This window comes from Homo sapiens, chromosome 15 (genome assembly GCF_000001405.40).
Source record: "Homo sapiens chromosome 15, GRCh38.p14 Primary Assembly".
NCBI lineage: Eukaryota > Metazoa > Chordata > Mammalia > Primates > Hominidae > Homo > Homo sapiens.
The window spans coordinates 52,985,874-53,009,151 of record NC_000015.10 but is presented as its reverse complement, the minus strand read 5'-3'; the positions used below and the strand labels follow the sequence as shown (position 1 = coordinate 53,009,151).

General features: G+C 37.4%; 1 long non-coding RNA gene across 5 annotated transcripts in view; it reads right to left on the bottom strand.

Moving 5' to 3' along the window:
• Positions 1-23,278, bottom strand: part of LOC107983981 (uncharacterized) — a 417,903-nt gene that overhangs the window by 212,503 nt on the left and 182,122 nt on the right. The window lies entirely within an intron of this gene.

Here is a 23,278-nt window from a genome sequence, read left to right as displayed (position 1 = left end):
AAATCCATTCACCTTTGCCATATAATATAAGCTAATCATAAGAGTGGCCTTCTATTATATTCTCAGGTCCCCTTCACACTCAAGGTGGAGGGCAGTGAGAGGAGTGATAATAAAAAGGGTGTGACCAGGAACAGGGGCTCATCTTAGAATTCTGCCTGCCATAGCATTTCTACCATAACCTTTACCACATCTCTTTTTATATCCTTTGCCTCCTAACATATTATTTGTTTGCTTATTTATTGTTCTGTTTCTCCTGAGTAGAATGAAATATTCCCGACAGCATGGACGTAATATTGTTTACTGTTATTTCTCCAGCAACTAGAACAGTATCTGGCATATAATTCAAGCTCAATAAATATTTGTTGAATAAACAAATGAATGAATGAATTAAAATATAAATATTTTACCCCTTTTATCACAGGAATTTCAATACATTATCTCCCATAGTTTATTATGCCTCTAACAGACCCTGGTCACATGCAAGACATCTTTAGTGAATATTTATTGAGCACTTACTCCTTACCAACCACTTGAACACACTCTAGTTAATCCTCACAATAATCTTCTCTAAATCACACAATCTCTTTTGAGCCTGGCTGGTAGGAAATGGGATTTCAATTATACTTTTGGGAGTCCTATATTTCTAGAGTGGGGGCTAAGTATTTTCTTATCCTCTTCTATTCAGGAATTAAACCCCTCAGTTTTGGGGTTTTTTTTGTTTGTTCGTTTTTTGAGTTTCTCTCTTGTTGCCCAGGCTGGAGTGCAATGGCATGATCTCAGCTCACTGCAACCTCCTCCTCTCAAGTTCAAGCAATTCTCCTGCTTCAGCCTCCCCAGTAGCTAGGATTACAGGTGCCCGCCACCTGGCCCAGCTATTTTTCTTTTGTATTTTCAGTAAAGACGGGGTTTCACCATATTGGCCAGGCTGGTCTCAAACTCCTGACCTCAGATTATCTGCCCGCCTCGGCCTCCCAAAGTGCTGGGATTATAGGCATGAGCCACTGCACCTGGCCTAAACCCCAGTTTTAGCTGGGCTCCTGGCCACCTGATTACAAATCCCCTCACTCAGTTTCTCTTAAAGCAAGATGTGGCCATAGGACTAGGTTCAAGCCAATGGGATGTAAAAAGAAATTATAGGCGTGATTTCAACTCCCTAAAGACAAGATTGCTTGCCATGGACTTCTATCTTAGAACTGGAACATGGACATGGAGGTGTGCCAGCTTCAATACTCCAGTACAGGGTCCTTAGCCTGGGGTTGACAGATCTGCAGAACATCCATGAACAGAATTCAGAGCGTCCAGAAACCTAGATTGGAAAAATTCTGTCTTTATTTTTAGCAATCTCTCATTGAAGTTCAGCATTTTCTTTAATTATAAATGTAGGCAACAAACCACAACAGTAATCACAATATCTGTGGCCTTGTCACTATCAGAAATTATAGTTATTTTCATATCATACTACATGAAATAATGATTTATGCTCATCACTATTTCGAAACTATGGTACCTATTAGACACACCAGTAGATGTGGTACTTATTAGACACACCACAATTAACAAAGAAGGATAATTATATCACAAATTTGTCTTTTAAATTTTGTGATAATTGTATTTTATTCTTATTTACTTCCTTTGTTATCATCCTATGTATTTTTTAATGTATTTAAAACTATTTTTCTGGGACAGAGTCCACACACTTTACCAGATTATCCAGGAAGGTCATGGCAGAAGATTTTAAAATCCTGTTCTAGCGGAAGGCAAGATACTAATATGGAAGAAACATGGATTCCTAAATGACTTAGGTGCAAGGCTGATTATCAGAGGTGGGCCGCTAGCTTACTTCCAGATTGTTACAGAGAGAGAAAAAAACTTTTAACTTGTTTGCGTCTCTGTAATTGAGAGTCTCTGTATTACAACAGCTGAACTTATACCTGAGATAATCCTCCCTCCCTGAAGTCAAGCCAGAATCCTAGGGCACACTATGCCCTACACAAAGCATTTAGGGAAGGACTCTCCAGTTTTCAGAGTGCACTGTTACAACTGATGAGCTCATTGTCTAAGGCTGCATGCTTCCTAGAGGATAAGCAACCAAGGGTAGCGGGACCTTTTAGTGACTGCTGGTCCTAAGGCAATAGCTCTTAAAGTTTGGCCCATTGATCACTCAGCCTCACCCATCAGAAGTCCCAGTAACCCCACCGAAAGGGAGAACAGTAATGTTACTGACTATAAAGAACTTACCAAATCTTACACCCTTCCTTGTCTCAAAAAGAATTCTCTAAAGAACTTCCCACCTCTTTAGCTTGGCCCACTTCTGCCTCCCAAATTCAATCATTCACCTCCTACTTCCCCTCGAGAATGATCCAAAATAATTCTCCTTGAGGAGCTTATGCTTTTGCAAACAATATGTTGGGTAGAGGCTGTCTGGAGACATATTTTTTTGCCATATTCACTCCCCTTCACAAAAGTTCCAGAGGCATAGAACAGAAAAACTAGGTTGCCATCTTGTTATGGGGGAAAGATAAAATCGTGTAGCAGTAAGAAAAAAGTTATCTCAGTAAATTATGTATAACTACTGCAACAATCCAAATATGAGATCTTAAGAGCCAATTTTGAGAGGTAGTTGGAGTGAAGAGTAAAAGATTGGTAGCGATTATAGAGAATTTTTGGAGGCGTAATGAAAACAAATAGTGGCTGGCCAGATATGGAAGGACTATGGAAAAGGAGAAGCCAAAGGTGGCTGCAAGATTGACATTTAAGTGAGCGAAAGGACGGTATATAAAAGAGAAACATAGGCAGGAACGCCGTTTTGGAATAGAAGACAACAGCTTTTAGATAAGTGAAGCTTGAGGTGTGGTGGAAAATCCAAATGGAAATTCCCAAGAGTTATGAAATGAGAGCTCTGAAATCAGCATCTAAATAGAGATGTTGATAGAGACCAAGAGAATGAAGAAGCTCTCCAAGGCAGAGAACTAAGAAGGGAAAAGACAGAATACCACCCCATTCCTTGAGGAACACTCACATTTAGAGAACAGAAGAAACCATCAAAGGAGACAAAGAAGAAATGATTAGAAAAGGAGGAGTAAATTTAGATAGTTCAATGTCAAAGTAGCATGGGAAAAATGCTTTAAGCCAAATGCATAGAGAAACTAACAGTAAGAACTGAGCAAAGACCAGTGGGTTTTGCAATTTTAAATGGCTGGTTAGTAAATAGCTTACTAATAATAGGTATCCATACAAATAAGACACCTTGAGATGCAGATATTACCAGGGACAGAGGCTGTCAAGATTCTTTTCAGGGCTATAATGGAGCCACAATCTTCCCTTAACAACTTTTTCATCATTTCTGGCAAATTCACTACAAAAAAGATATCTACTTGCTATTTGCAATCACAAAATATCCCTGGTTTGAAAAATATCTACATCCCAGAAGGCATCATTTAAAGGCAAATGGGCTTGGAATTATTAAGTGTATTCCATTGGATCAATATCATGGAGAATACTTATTTTCATTTCACTTATCAGAAAACTACATGTATTACATACAACGGCTCTTAATATATAAAGCATTTTCTCCCAAGCTGTTCAAATGAAGGTATTTCCCTCCGTTTTCATTCTGTATTAAAGGAATAATGTAAGTCCTATTTAGGGAACCAGCTAGTGCTTACCTAAACCCCTAAATGTTCACCCACAATAGAATCAATAGATGGAATATAGAATTCATCTCACAGATAAATGACGCCTAATGGACCCTAGATTTTAATTCTTAGACATGAGCCTAAATGGAAAAGCTAGAATAAAGAAAGAAAAAGATAAGAAAGGGAAAGAAAAGAAAAAAAGAACAAGTTCTTTTCCAAGTCTGAAACAAACGGAAGTGTGCATATTTGAACAAAGAGAAAATTATGCAATTAACAATATCCTCATAACCTCACTGGTGAGCATGAATAAAGCATTGCCAGTTACCATACAGATTAAATATTGAGGTACTGCATACTGGCACTCACCACAGACAATGAGAGCCTCTTACACTAATCAGATATTACTTTATTAAAAGATTTTTGAGGTTCAGAAAGACCCATGATCAGGGAGAAATTTAAAAAGCATCTTTTGCCTGCCAATAGCCCCATAAGAAAAGAAAAATGATAAATTCAGGTTATGCTCAACTTGCCTAACCCCTGCTAATTTAAAGCATTCATACGACTGCATGAATTTTTTTTATTTCTCTCCAGATTCCTGGTAGCATTTAAATGTGGGCTTCTGTTCAGCTTCCATGTTCTGTTTTCATTAAAATCAGTTGTGTTGTAGCTGGCTTTGGGGTAAACCCACAGCAATAGATGGCACTGGGAAGGCTCCAATTTTATTCAAGCTTTAGGAAGCTGAAGTGAGGGGATCTTGGTGATGATATTCCCCTCACAGTGCCCATGGTGGTTATTCTCCACTTTTCTCTCACTCTCAGTCCCAGAATCTCCTCCACCCCTTCAGCCACTGATCTAGTTTGCTGGGATTGGGGTTACCCAGTGCACACTTCCTCACCAACTTTTCCCCCATCTATCTTTGCACCCATCTTTCCCTGCAGCCTCAAGATAAAATGAACCTTCCTTTTCCCCAGAGATAAATCCTCCCACCACTCAGGTTCTGCTTTTTTACTTTGTCAGTTCCTAAGAGATGTTGGTCATGGATTCACCTATCCTTTTCAAGCATCCTGACTGGCTGTCTACCCTCTGCTGTCAAATATCCACTGACTTCTCCCGTTTTTGGTGTTGTGGGAGGAAAGATCCATCTTAATTTTCAGGGAGGCTCCATTTATCAATGCATATTTCCATAGGCCTCCTTTTCTTCTCTATCAACCTTTTCCAATAAGTAATCTACAGTGAAAAGCAAAATAAATGTGCAATGCTTCACAGTTAGAAAAGAAAAAAAAATTTTAATTCCATTCACAAATCAGGGAAAATGTTGAATATATAGAAAAAAATTTTACAGGAAAATATGCCTATAAGAAGAACATTATAAAACTTCACTGACAATTTTTTAAATAAATGGATATGTGTGTTCTGGATAGGAAAACTGAATATCAAAAATAGTCCCCAAAAATGATGGAATGTAAATTAGAGTCCATTTTGTTTATGTGTATCAAGAGCCTTCAAAAATTGTTCATATATTTTTAAATCAGCCATAACATTTCTAGGAATGTATCCCACTGAAGTAATCAGAACTATAGACCAAAATGTCTACACATTTTATATATTCATTTCAGTTGTATTTATGATAGTGAAAAAAACAGGACACATCCTACAGTTCCAATAAAAGATGAATGATTGAGTAAATTTATGGCACACCTAAACGATAAAAATGTTTACAGCTATTAAAACTCAGATTGGCTAAGTGTAGAGAGAAATGCTTACTTTATATAATTAAGGAAAACCATAATATGACCTAGTATAAATTCAACCATGTAAAACACTGTGCAATATATTAAAGGAATGTATGCCAACAGTTTAACAGGAATGGCCTATGAGTAATAGTTTCATAATACCAAATTTTTTCCTGTTCCTTTATACATTTCTGTTCTTCCCAATTTGTCTAAAATGAGCATATTCAGGCTGAGATTAATAAACCCTGTTTTGCAGGTAACTTCCTTTTTCTTCAATTTCCCAAGAGAAAACAAGAATAGGCCACCTTCTCTTCCATTTTTCATTCCCAGGAAGAACCAAGCCACTGGTGCAGGGAGAATGCTCTTTTTGTGACCCACAGCCCTGCAGTGGCTGCCTTGAATTGTAGCAGACTATATGGATTTTTAGTTTTGAATCTGTAGTATATGCAGTCTCATCTCTGAAAAACCAGATATTGATCCCTGTCTCACTGGGTCTACACGAACTGGATTGCCTGAATTCATGGATTTTTTTAAAGGAACAAATGCAGTAAATTAAAGGGAGTGTATTTTTTTCCTACTCTATTCCAGATAGCAAGTTTGACTGCATCTTTTGCTTGTTGTCTAGTTTTTCTGGTGATACAGAAATCTACAATGCAAAATGGTATACAGGGAAGCCAGTATACCTTCTGATGGCTCATCAAGTTGACTTTGCCGTATGTATAATTGTGCCCCGGCCAAGTCCCAAAATCAGGGTACACATTATACCCAGAGAAGGATTAAAGAGGAGGAAAACCAACCTGGTGGCTGATTCACAGATCAGCAACAAAACATCACAGATGTTGCCTCCATGGTCAGCCAGTCATAGAGTCTGCAAACATTTGTTAAGCACCTCATGATGTACCAGGTTCCAAGTAAACAAGACATGGTACCTGTACTCAAAAACTTTCTGTCTACCGGGAAAAATACACTTTAAATTAGTCCCACTTCAGCTGTGAAGTGTGGACTTCACACTGTGTGGACTGAGAAGTCCAAAAGAATTTAAAAGTGCTGTAGACACTCAGCCAGACCCAACCTAGCCTGGAGAGTAGTCCTTAATAAGGGCTTACCATTTAAACTAAACACCTAAAGATCAGTAGAAGTCGACTAGATTAAGTGGTACCAGAAGGAGAGTGGGGATTAAAAAGGCAGAAAGGTCATTCTAGACAGAGGGAGCTGGGAGTCCCTGAGGTCCACAAACTGAGAGAGTATGGTTCTGTTTGGGAAACAGAGAAGTCCTTGATGGCTGAATAGTACAAAAACAGGGAGGAAGCCATGAGAGCCAGGTCAGAGGGGTGAGTAATTGTAAAGCCTAGAGGGCCCGGTGAAGGTCCCGAGCTTTTTCCTAAATGCAGTGAGAAGGCATTTATTAGTTTTAAGTTTGGTTGCTTTGGCTCCAATTAAAAAAAAAAAAATGTTTGGAGGAGAAAAGTGGGATCGGGGGATGACCTAGGAGGTTATTGCTGCAACCCAAGCAAGAGATGATGGTGGCCTGGGTGACACAGTGACAGTGGGCATAGAGAAAAGAGGACAGGTTTAAGGACAAGTTCCAAAACACTCATTTGTCAGGGTGATATTGCTGCCTCCTTTAATTGAGGCAACAGCCCAACTCACACCTCCAACCTCCTAGGTCCTACCATCCATTCATATCCTGAGAAGGTGAAAGTGTGGAGAAAAGATGTCCTTCCCTCAGCCATGACACATCTATCACATTTTCAATATCATTTAGAAACAGACTCTCTACAATTAAACGGGCGTATCCCCACATCCATATTGAAATAGCCAATGAAGGCCAGGTGCGGTGGCTCACACCTGTAATCCCAGCACTTTGGGAGGCCAAGGCAGGCAGATCATGAGGTCAGGAGATCGAGGCCATCTTGCCTAACACGGTGAAACCCCATCTCTACTAAAAATGCAAAAAATTAGCCAGGCATGGTGGCACATGGCTGTAGTCCCAGCTACTTGGGAGGCTGAGGCAGAAAAATCACTTGAACCTGGGAGGTGGAGGTTGCAGTGAGCCAAGATCGTGCCACTGCACTCTAGCCTGGGTGACAGAGCAAGACTCCATCTCAAAAAAAAAAAAAAAAAAAAAAAAAAAAAAAAAAAAAAAAAGAAAGAAAAGAAGAAAAGACAAAGAAAAAGAAAAAAAAATAGCCAATGAATACTCTAGGTTTTTTTTAAAAGGAAAGAGGCCAGTCCAAGTACAGCCATAAGGAATCAGATATGAGCCTGCAAACTGAGTCCTCCATCTCCTCCCAGTCCAGGGTTCTGTCCACCTGGCCATCTGAAGAGAAAATAGTGGTCAGCTTTAGGCCAGGAGTCAAGAGACTAACTGCTCTTTCCTCTCCGCTTTCATGAGGCTCTGACCACTTCAGAACTAAAATGGAGGCTGATCACAAATTCTTAAGAGGATTTTTAAAAAGAAAACAAGTAATATGTTTCTTCCCCTATTGTGTATTTTGCCTGGAAACCTTCTATGAAAGGTTTCTATTATCCAAGGTAGCTTTTTAGATGTCACTCCAGCCCTAAGTGTATTTGCATTTAGATGCAGCTTATTTCTTGTGTCTCTGAGAACCTTGCCCTCTTGCTATTAGTACATTCACAACCCCTCACACTCACAACAGAACAAGAGAAGTCAAAGTAGATGAAAGGGACCAGATCCATTTGCTCCTAACCAGGTCCCTGAAGAGCCTCTTAGAGGATCCCAGGTTACAAATGTGTTCATCTTTTCCATCCACTGATATCTTTTTGAAGGCAAAGATGAGATGGGTCTATAAAATGGGAAAAGAATAAAGTCAGTCTTTTCCACTGCCACTTCCAGAATCCTTCCTTCAAAAATATTTTTATCTGCTAGCCATGATGCTGACTTTACATGTATACCATTTGTTCCTAAACGTGTTTTAAATATATACGTGTTTCCCAGGATTATAGGTTTCTCGTGGCATCTTTCTTTCTATTGAAAGTTGTGAGCAAGGAAAAGAACTTCATGCTCTTATTTTGTGGGACAAAGAGAGAAGCCAAAGCTTTATGATCACGTCTCCACCTGCAGAATTGCATGTACTTTAACAGAAACTTTGTATTGACTTGAAAACCTTTGCAAGAGCAACTGCTGGTTTCCATGACAACCACATCTATGGCATCTGGCTTTCCCCCTGCACACTGGTGACACAAGACTACACGTGATGGGTTATTTTATGCATCAGTCACAGCGATGGAAATTCTAGAGAAACCACAACTTACCCTATACTTTGAGAGTTTAAGATGTAGCTGACCCCTTAAAACAGACTTGCTGTTGTGGCCGAAGAAAAAGGACATGTAAAAAATACAGACCTTCTATAAACTCAGCTGTAAGTTGAATTTCTTTCTCACATCAGAATGCATTTTTCAGACAGCCCAGGTGCCTGGATGCAAAATACATCAGAAGTGTTAAATTTCACTTGATTGTTTTCCCTGCTTTCTCTCAAAGTTCTTTTTTTTTTTTCATTTTTAGAATGGAGTAATGATGAAAAATACATTAAACATAAGGACAAGTATCCTTATCTGAACTATCCTTCCAGTCATCCTAATCAAAATATTATACTTTATGAATTAGAGAAGACTTCATGAAAAACATCTTTATGAGAAACATAAAATAGATTTTAGAAAAATTTCCCAAGGACTTGACTGTCAATTTTAATCCTCTTCATACAAACATTCTTGCTCCATTGTTAAGCATAAACACTTTTGAGTTTGGCTGACTTGGGCTCAGTCATGGCTCTGTCATTTACAGCTGTAAGGCCTTGGGCAAGTTACTGGAGTTCCAGTTTCCTTTTCTGTAAACTGGAAATGATAACTATTTTATAGAATTGTTGGGCTTAAGATAACTGCACATAAAAAGTTTAGCATTGTGCCTGAGAGATGTATTACTCATATACATATTTATATTTATAACAACTATTATATATACATATATATTATACTTCAGTTCAGTACAAGAAGCCATCTTCATGCTCTTTTAGGCTAGAATGATGAAATGTTAAGTTATAAATATCATACCACTTTCAAAGGACCTAATTATTTATGACACTCTGTTACTAGTTGAATGGAACATTTCATTTATTTTTTAATTTAACTTTTATTTTAAGTTCAGGGATACGTGTGTAGGTTTGTTACATAGGTAAATTTATGTCATGGGGGTTTGTTGTACAGATTATTTCATCACCCAGGCATTAAGCCTAGTACTCATTAGTTATTTTTCCTGATCCTCTCCCTCCTCCCACCCTCCACCCTCTTCTAGGCCCCATTGTATGTTGTTTCCTTCTATGTGTTCGACTATTCTCATCATTTATCTCCCACTTAGAAGTAAGAACATGTGGCATTTGATTTTTTGTTCCTGTGTCAGTTTGCTAAGCCTAACTCCAGCTCCACTCATGTTCCCACAAAGGACATGTTGTCATTCTTTTTTATGGCTGTATAGTATTCCGTGGTGTATATGTACCACCTTTTCTTTATCCAGTCTATCACTGATGGGCATTTAGGTTGGTTCCATGTCTTTGCTATTGTGAATAGTGATGCAATGAACATATCCATGCATGTGTCTTTGTGATAGAATAATTTATATTCCCTTGGGTATATACCCAGTAATGGATTGCTGGGTCAAACGGTATTTCTGTTTTTAGGTCTTTTAGGAATTGCCACAGTATCTTCCACAATGATTGAACTAGTTTACAGTCCCACCAACAGTGTATAAGCATTCCTTTTTCTTCACAACCTCACCAGCATCTGTTATTTTTTGACGTTTTAATAATAGCCATTCTGACTGGTGTGAGATGGTACCTCATTGTGGTTTTGATTTTATTTGTCTAGTGATGAGTGGTGTTGAGCTTTTCTTCATGTGTGTTAGCTGCATGTATGTCTTCTTTTGAGAAGTGCTTGTTAATGTCCTTTGCCCACTTCTTAATGAGGTTATTTGTCTTTTTTCTTGTAAATTTGTTTAAGTTCCTTATAAATGCTAGATATTAGACCTTTGTCAGATGCATAGTTTGCAAAAATTTTCTCCCATGCTGTAGGTTGTCCGTTTACTTTGCTAATAGTTTCTTTTGCTGTACGGAAGCTCTTTAGCTTAATTAGATCCCATTTGTCAATGTTTGCCTTTGTTGCAATTGCTTTTGGCATCTTTGTCATTAAATCTTTGCCCGTACTTTATGTCCTGAATGGTATTGCCTATATTGTCTTCCAGGACTTTTATGGTTTTGCATTTTATATTTAAGTCTTTAGTCCATCTTGAGTTAATTTTTGTATGTAGTGTAAGGAAGGGGTCCAGTTTTAATCTTTTGCATACAGCTAGCCAGTTATCACAGCACCATTTATTACATAGAGAGTCCTTTCCCCATTGCTTGTTTTTGTCAGATTTGCTGAAGATCAGATAGTTGTAGGTATGCGGCCTTATTTCTGGGTTCTCTGTTCTGTTCCATTGGTCTATGCATCAGTTCTTGTACCAGAACCATGTTGTTTTGGTTACTGTAGCCCGGTAGTGTAGTTTGAAGTCAAGTAACATGATGCCTCCAGCTTTGTTCCTCTTGCTTAGGATTGTCTTGGATATTCAGGCTTTTGTTTGTTTGTTTGTTTCATATGAATTTTAAAACAGCTTCTTCTACTTCTGTGAAGAATGTCCTTGGTAGTTTAATATAAATAGCATTGAATCTATAAATCCCTTTGGGCAATATGGCCATTTTAACTATTTTGATTCTTCCTATTCATGAGCATGGAATGTTTTTGCATTTGTTTGTGTCATCTCTGATTTATTTGAGCAGTGTTTCGTGGTTAAATGGAACATTTTTAAAATTCAAATCAAAAATATTATTTTAATTATATTTCCTGGATAATTCCTAAAAATCATATTTTTAGTTACCCAAATAATGGCTTCAGTTATCCACATTCCATTACAAGAGACTCTAAATGTGTCAATGACATCCTAAAACATTGCTTTAAATTAATATTTTTTAATTGGTCTATTTGGATAGACTTTGGCAGAGCCATACAAAGTGCTGAGGAAATTTTGACTACCTACCCTTTGAAGGCTCTTCAGAATTCCTTTATGAATTTAAAAATATTTTAATGCCATAAAAACAAAATAGGAATCTGATTTAATAATTCATTTTTTAAAAAACATAAACCTGTTATTGAGCAAGAATTCACTCTTCCTCTCAAAGACTATGAACTGTCATTTGCTAAATTCAGTCACTGAGAAGACTTCACTATACCACCTCCAAATGCAAACTAACACCAGTAACTATGGCCTGTTCCTCTGGCTAGAGTTAAGACTGAACAGTTAGGCAATCAAGCCAGTTTTTTCACTAGATCACAACATTTATTTCAAGAAGTTCTCACCACCAAACCAGTTGTTTGGTAAGATCTAGGCTTCAATGGATGCACTTTGACCATCAAAACTATACCTGCCAAGGTTCAGCTGATGGACAGTTTATAAACCCTCCCTCAACTCCTCATTCTTGATTGCCCTGGAATATCCAGAAGTCCCATATTCCCTGTGTCTGGAGCACTTAGGTGCTCTGACCTTGCTGAGAGAATCACTACTCCTTTCTCTATCAATCAAAGCACAGAAACTGAAAGAGTTTAGTAATAGGACTATTTTCAAGAGTCAGGATAACTTAAGGGAAACCATCAGTACCCAGGGTAAAGCACCCAGGGGATAGACTATTAATACCCCAAGATCTGAAGGATCAAGGAAGAGGCACCATTTCCAGAATGGGAGCAATAGCTGTGGCTTTGGAATGTCTCCATGCTTCCACAGGAGCTGTGGCCTGAGACAGAGAAAAGCAAGGACTGTCAAACTGTGGCCTAAACAAAGAGGGAGCAGAGTAATAATACTCCAACCTTGCTCCTTCTCTCCTACCCTCTTATCTCCTGCTAGTATCTTTCAGTGGCCAAATTCAACCAGAAGCCACAGGGCAAGAGAGCTTGATGGATGCAGCCCATGGAGGTCAGCCTTTTGGAGTAAAATGTAGGTTGAAGAAAAGTGAAGAGTTGATCTAGGGGTGTGGGGAGAGGTAAATGAAAATTTCCAGCACAAATGTTTTAGGATTCTCTCTGGCTATCCACTTTCCCATGAGAACATCATTTTCAGAATCTAAACCAATTTTACAAACACCTATAAGGCAGAGGTAATACAGTCTCCCCACTCCCACATTTGTGAAGGTGAACTTCTCTAATTTAGTGGTATAGAAACTAGGTACAAAAACTCATGGAGATATCCCCTTCACACTTTACCCAATTATTTACATAGGAGAGATGAATGTCAGGTGGGTGGAAGGGGTAGGAGCAGTGATGAAACTGAGGAACCGTGCAGGTAGATTGCTGAAAGTAAGCAAAAGAAGCCAAAAGGTAAGATGTTTCCAGCAGTAAAAAAGGATAGACTTATGTAACTTGCCAGATCCAAGAAACATGGTAAGACTAGCAGCAGAGGACATTCAAGGCTGCAACAGGTCACAGGAGCAAGGCAGCCAGGACAATGATCTAGGTAGATGAGCTGGTTCAGTGAGCAATAATTAAATCATTTAGGGTTGGGTGGGGGGTGATTCTTTTCATATAGCTGTTCAGCACTTTTAATGCAGTATAGATCAAGTGAGAGATATGACTGTGCCTTTTAAATATGCCATGAGAAATAACATTTGCCATCAGTTTTGGGGTGCCTACTACATGTCATTTGTTATACTGGACACATTACATACATTATCTCATTTAGTCCTCACAAATTTTCCTCACACATAATTATCCTAACTTGACAGATGATGATGCAGTCAGAAACATTAATACATCCAAGGATATACAGCTAATAAATAGTGGCACTTGGGTTCCAATTCAGCTTTGTTGACTTCAAGCCCTACACTTTCAACAATCTTAGTAAAATGTATCACTCTATATTACCTTCCTGAATTCTCTGTATTGCAAGTTTCTTTCCTTTGAATTTGACATAAAAAAAAAAAAAAGCATGTCTTCTACAATAAGAAAGACCACGGTCATTTGTATCTAGATTTTAGGATATGGCCAGCTAATGGCCACAGCAAAAGATAGTAATTATCCATTTACTAACTGTGCTTTTGTTTCAATAATTACCCTCAAAGTTAATTATTTATTTAGCCAATCTCGCCATTCCCTACATTAATTAGACATGTTAGCACATGAAAATGCATTGATATAGAAGAAACTGTCTTATCTGGTGACAGTCTAAGTGACTTTCTGCAGAGATCTCTTTTATTTTGGCCTTCCTGAGTGTGGGAAACATGCATGTCTTCCAGGAAACTCTGAGTCAGTAGCCTAAAGTTTCATCTCATTTTATATGGGACTTTCAAAGTTCTTAGGAAAGCAATATAGATATGCCTGTAGGCCTAGGAAAGATATATCATGATCTGGAATTAAATGCAGTCAAATATTTAGGATAAAATGCAAAATAAAATAAAATAAAATAAAACTCATGCCTATGGATCCCCCAAGGAATAGCCAGATCTGCTCTGAAGAGGACTGAAATCATTATGCACAAGCAAAAGATTTATCATAGAGAATACAAGTGTCATTCCTATAAAAAGAACCAAACTGATGTAACTTACTTTTCCTTGGAACTAGATTTTAACTGGTTTCAACTTAGAACTAACAAACCGGATATGTGCAAAATGATTGACAGGTGGGCCCAATTATGCCCCAGCAGTTCCTTATAGAGAGAATCAATGGCTGTTTGAATACAGTTCATATTTTATTAGTAACTAGCTCCAAGCCCATAACCATCTCTCCTCATTCCACTCTCACCCCACCACAGACTATTTATTCAGATACATTTGCTTAATCCAGGACCCTGGAAAACATAAGGCTTAAGTTAAATCTTTGCAACCCACACCATACCAAAACCTACAGCAAAAGCATTCTATGAGGGTAGTTTATAACAATAAATGCCTACATCAAAAAGTAGAAAGATCACAAACAAATACTCTAATGTTACATCTCAAGAAATTAAAAAAGCAAGAACGAATTAACCCAAAACTAGTAGAAGGGAGGAAAGAAAAATCAGAGCAAAAATGATGAAATAGAGATTCTGAAAACACACAAAATGTGTTACTTCTGTCTTTTTTGTAATAGCCACTTAAACTGGAGTAAGATAGTATCTCATTGTGGAAAAAAAATGGCTATTATCAAAACAAGAATTTGGAACCAGGCTGAGGCTGAGATGGCTGAAATGATAAAAGTATAATTCAGAATACGAATAGGTACAAAGTCCATTGAGCTACAAGAGTATGTTGTAACCCAAAGCAAGGAAGCTAAAAATCATGATAAAACATTGCAGGAGCTGACAGACAAAATAGTCAGTATAGAGAAAAATGTCACTGACCTGACAGAGCTGAAAAACACACTACAAGAATTTCATAATGCAATCACAAGTATTAATAGCAAAATAGACTAAGCAGAGGAACGAATCTCAGAGCTTGAAGACTGGTTTTCTGAAATAAGATAGGCAGACAAGAATAGAAAAAAAAGAATGAAAAAGAATGAACAAAAGCTTCAAGAAATTTGGGATGATGAAAATAATCTGAATCTATGACTGATTGGTGTACCTCAGAAAGATGGGGAATTTGGAAAACATATTTCAGGATATCATCATTGAGAATTTCCCCAACCTAGCAAATCAGGCCAACATTCAAATTCAGGAAATGCAGAGAACCCCAGTAATATACTCCATGAGAAGATCAACCCCAAGACACATAATCATCAGATTCTCTAAGGTTGAAATGGAGGAAAAAATGTTAAAAGCAGACAGAGAGAAAGTCCAGGTCACCTATAAAGGGAAGCCCATCAGACTAACAGCAGATGTCTCAGCAGAAACCCTACAATACAGAAAAGATAGGGTGCAAATATTCAATATTCTTAAAGAAAATAATTTCCAACCCAGAATTTCATATGCAACCAAACTAAGCTTCATAAGTGAAGGAGAAATAAGATTCTTATCAGACAAGCAAATGCTGAGGGAATTTGTTACCACCAGACCTGCCTTACAAGACCTGCTGAAGATACCAATAATGTGAAAAGGAAAGATTGTTACCAGCTAACTACAAAAACACAATGAAGTATACAGACCAGTGACACTATAAAGAAACCACATAAACAAGTCTTCAAACTAACCAGCTAACATCAGGATGACAGGATCAAATCCAGACATATCAATACTAACCTTAAACGTAAATGAGTTAAGTGCCTTAATTAAAAGACAGAGTGGCAAGCTGGATAAAGAACCAGGAACCATTGGTATGCTGTATTCAAGAGACCCATCTCACATGCAATGACACACATAGGCTCAAAATAAAGGGATGAAGGAAAATCTACCAAGCAAATGGAAAACAGAAAAAAGCAGGGGTTGCAATCCCAGTTTCTGACAAAGCAGACTTTAAATCAACAAAAATCAAAGAAGACAAAGAAGGGCATTACATAATGGTAAAGGGTTCAATTCAACAAGAAGACCTAACTATACTAACTATATATGTACCCAACTCAGGAGCACCCAGATTCATAAAGCAAGTTCTTAGAGGCCTTCAAAGAGACTTAGACTTCCATATAGTAATAGTGGGAGACTTTAACAGCCCAGTGACAATATTAGATCATTGAGACAGAAAATTAACAAAGATATTCAGGACCTGAACTTAGCACTGGATCAAACAAACCTGATAAATACTACAGAACTTTCCACCAAAAAACAGTAGACTATACATTCTTTTTATTTCCATATGGCACTTACTCTAAGATCGATCACATAATCGGAAGTAAAACATTCCTCAGCAAATGCAAAAGAACTGAAATCAAAACAGCCTCTTGGACCACAGCAGAATCAAATTAGAACTCAAGATTAAGAAACTCACTCAAAACCATATAATTACATGGAAATTGAATAACCTGCTCCTGAATGACTTTTGGGTAAATAATGAAATTAAGGCAGAAATCAAGAAGTTCTCTGTAACTAATGAGAACAAAGATACAACATATCAGAATCTCTGGGACACAGCTAAGGTAGTGTTAAGAGGGAAATTTATAGCACTAAATGCCCACATCGAAAACTAGAAAAATTTCAACTAAACCACCTAACATCACAATTAAAAGAACCAAGAGTAAACAAATCCCAAAGCCAGAAGAAGACAAGAGATAACCAAGATCAGAGCTAAACTGAAGGAGATAGAGATGTGAAAAGCCATTCAAAAGATTAACAAATCCAGGAGCTTATTTTTTGAAAAACTTAATAAAATAGACCGCTACCTTGACTAATAAAGAAGAAATAGAAGATTCAAATAAATACAATCAGAAATGATAAAGGAGATATTACCACTGACCCCAAAGAAATACAAAACAACCATCAGAGAATATTATGAACACCTAAACTAAAAAAAATAGAAGAAATGGATAAATTCCTGGAAACACACACCTTCCCAAGACTGAACCAGGAAAAAATTGATGCCCTGAACAGACCAATAATTATTTCTGAAATTGAGGCAATAATAAATAGCCTACCAACCAAAAAAAGCCCAGGACCAGATGGATTCACAGATAAATCTACCAGATACACAAATAAGTGTTGGTGCCATTTCTACTGAAACTATTCCAAAACAAATGAAAATAAAGGACTCCTCCCTAACTCATTCTATGAGGCCAGCATCATCTAGATACTAAAACCTGGCAGAGATACAATAAAGAAAGAAAACTTCAGGCCAATATTCTTGATAAATATTGATGCAAAAATCCTCAACCAAATACTGGCAAACCAAATCAAGCAGCACATCAAAAAGCTTATCCACCACAATCAAGTAGGCTTCATCCCAGGATGCAAGGATGGTTCAACATATACAAATCCATAAATGGGATTCCTCACATAAACAGAACTAAAGACAAAAACCACATGACTATCTCAATAGATTCAGAAAGGGCTTTCAGTGAAATTCAACATCCCTTCATGATAAAAACTCAATAAACTAGGTACTGAAGAAACATACCTAAAAATAGTAAGACCCATCTACGACAAACCCACAGCCAACATCATACTGAAAGGGCAAAAGCTGGAATCATTCCCCTTGAAAACCAGCACAAGAGAAGGATGCCCTATCTCACCACTCTTATTCAACATAGTATTGGAAGTTCTGGCCAGGGCAATCAGGCAAGAGAAAGAAATAAAGGGCATTCAAATAGGAAAAGAGGAAGTCAAACTACCCTGTTTGATGATGGCATAATCCTATATCTAGAAAAACTCATCAGCTCAGCCCAAGAGCTTCTTAAGCTGATAAGCAACTTCAGCAAAGTCTCAGGATATAAAATCAATGTGCAAAAATCACCAGCATTCCTATACACCAATAACAGCCAAGCCAAGAGCCAAATCATGAACAAACTCCCATTTATAATTGCCACAAAAAGAATAAAATACCTAGGAATACAGCTAACTAGGGAGGTGAAAAATCTCTATAGGAACTACAAACCACTGCTCCAGGAAATCAGAGATGACACAAACAAATGGAAAAATATTCCATCCTCATGGATAGAAAGAATAAGTATCATAAAAATGGCCCTGCTGAAGAAAGCAATTTATAGATTCAATGCTATTCCCATTAAACTACCACTGACATTCTTCACAGGACTAGAAAAAACTATTTCAAAATTCATATGGAACCAAAAAAGAGCCTGAATAGTCAAGGCAATTCTAAGCAAAAAGGACAAAGCTGAAGGCATCATGCTATCTGACTTCAAACAAATCTACAGGGTTATGGTATCCAAAACAGCATAGTACTAGTATAAGAACTGACACATAGATCAATGGAACAGAATAGAGAACCCAGAAATAAGACTGCACACCTACAACTATCTGATCTTTAACAAACCTGACAAAAACAAACAATAGGGAAAGGATCCCCTATTCAATAAATCGTGCTGGGATAACTAGCTAGCAATATGCAGAAGATTGTAACTAGACCCCTTCCTTACAACATACACAAAAATTAACTCAAGATGGATTAAAGACTTAAATGTTAAACCCTAAACTATAAAAACTCTGAAAGGGAATCTAAGCAATACCATTCAGGAAATAGGCATGGGCAAAGATTTCATGATAAAGACCAAAAGTAATTGCAATAAAAACAAAAATTGACAAATTGGGATCTAATTAAACTAAAGAGCTTCTGCACAGCAAAAGAAACTATCAACAGAGCAAACAGACAACCTACAGAATGAGAGAAAATGTTTACAAAGTATGCATCCAACAAAGGTCTAATATCCAAGATCTATAAGGAAATTAAACAAATTTACAAGAAAAAACAACCCCATTAAAAAGTGTCAAAGGACATGAACAGGCACTTCTCAAAAGAAGACATACATACAGCTAAGAAGTATGTGAAATAAAACTCAACATTACTGATCATTAGAGAAATGCAAATCAAAACCACAATGAGATGCCATCTCATACCAGGCAGAATGGCTATTATTAAAAAGTCAAAAAATAACAGATGCTATAGAGGTTGTGGAGAAAAAGGAATGCTTATACACTGTTTGTGGGAGTGTAAATTAGTTCAGCCATTGCAGAAGACCGTGTGATAATTGAGGCCTCGAGACCTAAAAACAGAAATACCATTCAACCCATCAATCTCATTACTGGGTGCATTAGTCCATTTTCACACTGCTATGAAGAAATACCTGAGACTGAATATTTCATAAATGAAAGAGGTTTAATTAACTCACAGTTTTCCATGGGTGGGGAGGCCTCAGGAAATTTTCAGTCATGGAAGAAGGTAAAGCAGAAGCAAGTACCTTCTTCACAAGGCAGCAGGAGAGAGAGAACACATGGGAAACTGCCACTTTTAAAACCACCACATCTCATGAGAACTCCATCACTAGCACAAGAACAGCATGGGGGAAAGCGCCTCCATGATCCAATCACCTCCCACCAGGTCCCTCCCTCAACATGTAGGGATTACAATTTGAGATGAGATTTGGGTGGAGACACAGAGTCAAACCATATCACTGGGTAAATACCCAGAGGAATATAAATTGTTCTATCATAAAGACCCATGCACGCATATGTTCCTTGCAGCACTATTCATAATAGCAAAGGCATGGAACCTAATGCCCATCAATGGCAGACTGGATAAAGAAAACGTGGTACATATACACCACGGAATACTATGCAGCCATATAAAAGAATGACATCACATCACTTTGCAGAGACATGGATGGAGCTGGGGGCCATTATCCTTAGCAAACTAATGCAGCAACATAAAACCAAATACTGCATGTTCTCACTTATAAGTGGGAACTAAGTGATGAGAATATATGAACACATAGAAGGAAACAACACACACTGGGGCCTAGAAGAGGGTGAAGGGTGGGAGGAGGCAGGAAATCAGGAAAAATAACTAATGGGTGCTCAGCTTAATACCTTGGTGACAAAATAATCTGTACAACAAATCCCCATGACACAAGATTACCTATGTAACAAACCTGTACTGCAAGTATCCCTGAATTTAAAATAAAAACTGAAAGAAAAAAATCAGCTATGCATCCTTGAAATAAACCCCACTTCATTATGTTGTGTAATTCTTATATACTGACTAATTCTATCTGCTAATATTTTGTTAAGGATTTTGCATCTTTATGGTGAATATTGGTTGGCAGTTTTCTCCTTCTTTGTGTGTGCTCTCTTTGTCTGGTTTTGGTATCAGAGTAAATACTAACTTCTTAAAATTAAAAAAAAGAAATTGAAGAAGACACAAAAAAATGGAAAGATATCCTGTGTTCATGGATTAGAGGAATTAACATCATTAAAATGTCCATACTACTCAGAGCAATCTACAGATTCAACACAATCCCTGTCAAAATACTAACGACATTCCTCACAGAAATAGAAACATCAATTCTAAAATTTTTGTGGAACTACAGAAGATCCCAAATAGCCATAGAAATCTTGAGCAAAAAGAACAAAGCTGGAGGCATCACACTACCTGACTTCAAAATACACTACAGGCTAGGCACAGTGGCTCACAGTGGCCTGTAATCCCAGCACTTTGGGAGGTTGAGATAGGCAGATTGCTTGAGCCCAGGAGTTTGTGGCCAGCCTGGGAAACATGGCAAAACCCTATCTCTACAAAAGATACACAAAAATATTAGCTGAATGTGGTGTCACACACCTGCAGTCCCATCTACTCAGGAGGCTGAGGCGGGAGTATCACTTGAGCCTGGGAGGTCGAGGCCGCAGTGAGCCATGATTGCACTACTGTTGTCCAGCCTAGGCAACAGAGCAAGGCCCTGTCTCAAAAGAAATGCATATATTTATATATAATATATAAATATACATTTATATAATATATGTTATATATATTTACATAAATATGTTATTTATATATGTATATACATTTACATATACATTTATATATTTGCATATACATTTACATATACTTTATATATGTATATACATTTACATATACATATATGTCTATATATATATATATACACACACACACATACACACACACAAATCTATAGTAACCAAGACAGGATGATACTGGCATTAAAACAGACATGGACACATAGACCAATGGAACAGGATAGGGAACTCCAAAATAAATCCATGCATTTACAGCCAACCTATTTTCAACAAAGTGCCAAGGACACATATTGTGGAAAAGACAATCTTTTCAATAAATGATGCTGGGAAAACTAGATATCCACATGCAGAAGAATCTCTCATCTTATACAAAAACAACTCAAACCTTTGCATTAAAGACCTAAGTATAATACACAAAACTATAAAACAACTGGAGGAAAACACAGGGGAAATGCTTCATTACACTGGTCTGGGCAAGGGTTTTTGGATAGGACCTCAAAGCACAGGTAACAAAAGCAAAAACAGACAAATGGGATTACATCAAACAAAAAAGCTTCTGCACAACAAAGGAAACAATCAACAGAGTTAAGAGACAACCTACAGAATGAGAGAAAATATTTGCAACCATGCATCCAACAAAGGGATAATATCTGGTGTTTATGACATAGTGGAGTGACTATAGCTAATAACAATGTACTGTATATTTCAAAATAGCTTCTAAAAAGATCTTAAAAGTTATCACCACAAAAAGGTGATAAAGGTTTGAGGTGATGGACATGCTAGCTGCCCTGATTTGATCATTATACAATGTCCACATGCATTGAAATGTCACACTGTGCCCTATAAACATATACAATTATTATGTGTCAATTATAAATCACATGAAAAATAAATAAATAAATTTTAAACATTTTAAATTGTGTTTGTTCCTGAAAAGATAGTCACTGAAAATAAGGGCCAAAAAATGTTTGTTTGAAAAGGGAGAGTGAATATGTCAATGTAAACTCAAAATGAGAGTCCATAGGTAATTTATCTTTCCAATTAGATTCTTGGCTAAATCATCATCATCACAGCACTCCATGTAGAATTTGAAGACTGCCCAGTTATGTGAGCATTTGAATAAGCTAATGTTCACAGAAGAGATAGATCTACCGTCTGCTCAGCTGAACTTTAAGCATTAGAATTATTCCTTAATCAGCAACTCACAATACATGCACACCAGGCTCCCGCCAAAGCATATAACTGTGAACGTCCAATCACTAAATCTCTAGGACAAGCGAAATTATAAGACATTGGGCTTACTTCTCTTTTAGTACTGTGCCACCTCTACTGGATTAACAGAGCACTTAACCATTAATCTAACTATTCAGGACTGCATCTTGGGATCAAACCACACTATCTAAAATTTGCCTTTCTTACCTTCGTAGCCTGTCACAGAATTGCATTCACTGAATTGTGCTATGGCCTTTCCCCTTGGCTTAAATAAAGACATGCTATAGAAAACAAGTTTCTGAAGTATATTACTTTTTTTCATAAAGTTATTGAGGACATTATCTATTTAATCACTGCATAGTCTTCATATGTTAATACGGATGAGAACTATCTTTAAGACACAGAGTAAGAAAAAGCTTTGTTTTCTCTGAGGAACAAGTGTATTCCTCCTTCCCCACCCTCAGTACTTTCTCTCATAGGCAATGTGAACATGTAACTCATATCTCTTTGCCTTGGCTACTAGAAAGCTCAGTATCAACTTCAGTGGGCAAGTATGATATTTTAGTAGAACTCTAAGATCTGCCTGTTTGTGCCCTTCCCCTTCCTCTTTATATTCTATTGTATTCATATTTGGTGTAATTTTAATTTTTAATTTTATTTTATTGTATATGTTTTACAAACTACATCAAATCTCTAAAAAGTGGAGTACAAATTTAAAAAGACAAGAAGCAGCAGAAAAGTAACCGTTACTTATTAAACACCTTTAAGGCAAGTGTTATGAGTTTATACCCGCAGAATTGTTATTCTGGCCTCCATAGACTGTCCACATAACCCTAGAGGTGAGCACACTCTGAGACTGAAAACCAGATTGCTTAACTCTTCCTATATGTTGATGTTTATAGTTGTAAAGGCATAAGCTGAGCTTTACTGGCTGACACCTTCATTCAGTAACATTATGGAGCACATACCATTTATAGTGTAAGTATTGCAAAGAATAAGACAGTAGAGTGTTTCAAAACACTCTAGAGCCAGACTGCCTGCACCTGAATCCTGGATCTACCATGAACAAGCTCTGTGATCTTGAGCAAGTTGTTCAACCTCTCTGTGCCTTATTTTCCTCATCTGTGTAATGGACTTAATAATAGTGTCTATCCCTTAGGGTTATGAAAGTCAAATGGGTTATCTGTAGAAGAGTGCCTAGCAATAGCAGGTGCTCTGTTAACTATTATTATCATTATAAAGAATAAAAAGAAGACACTGCTGTTGGCCCCAAT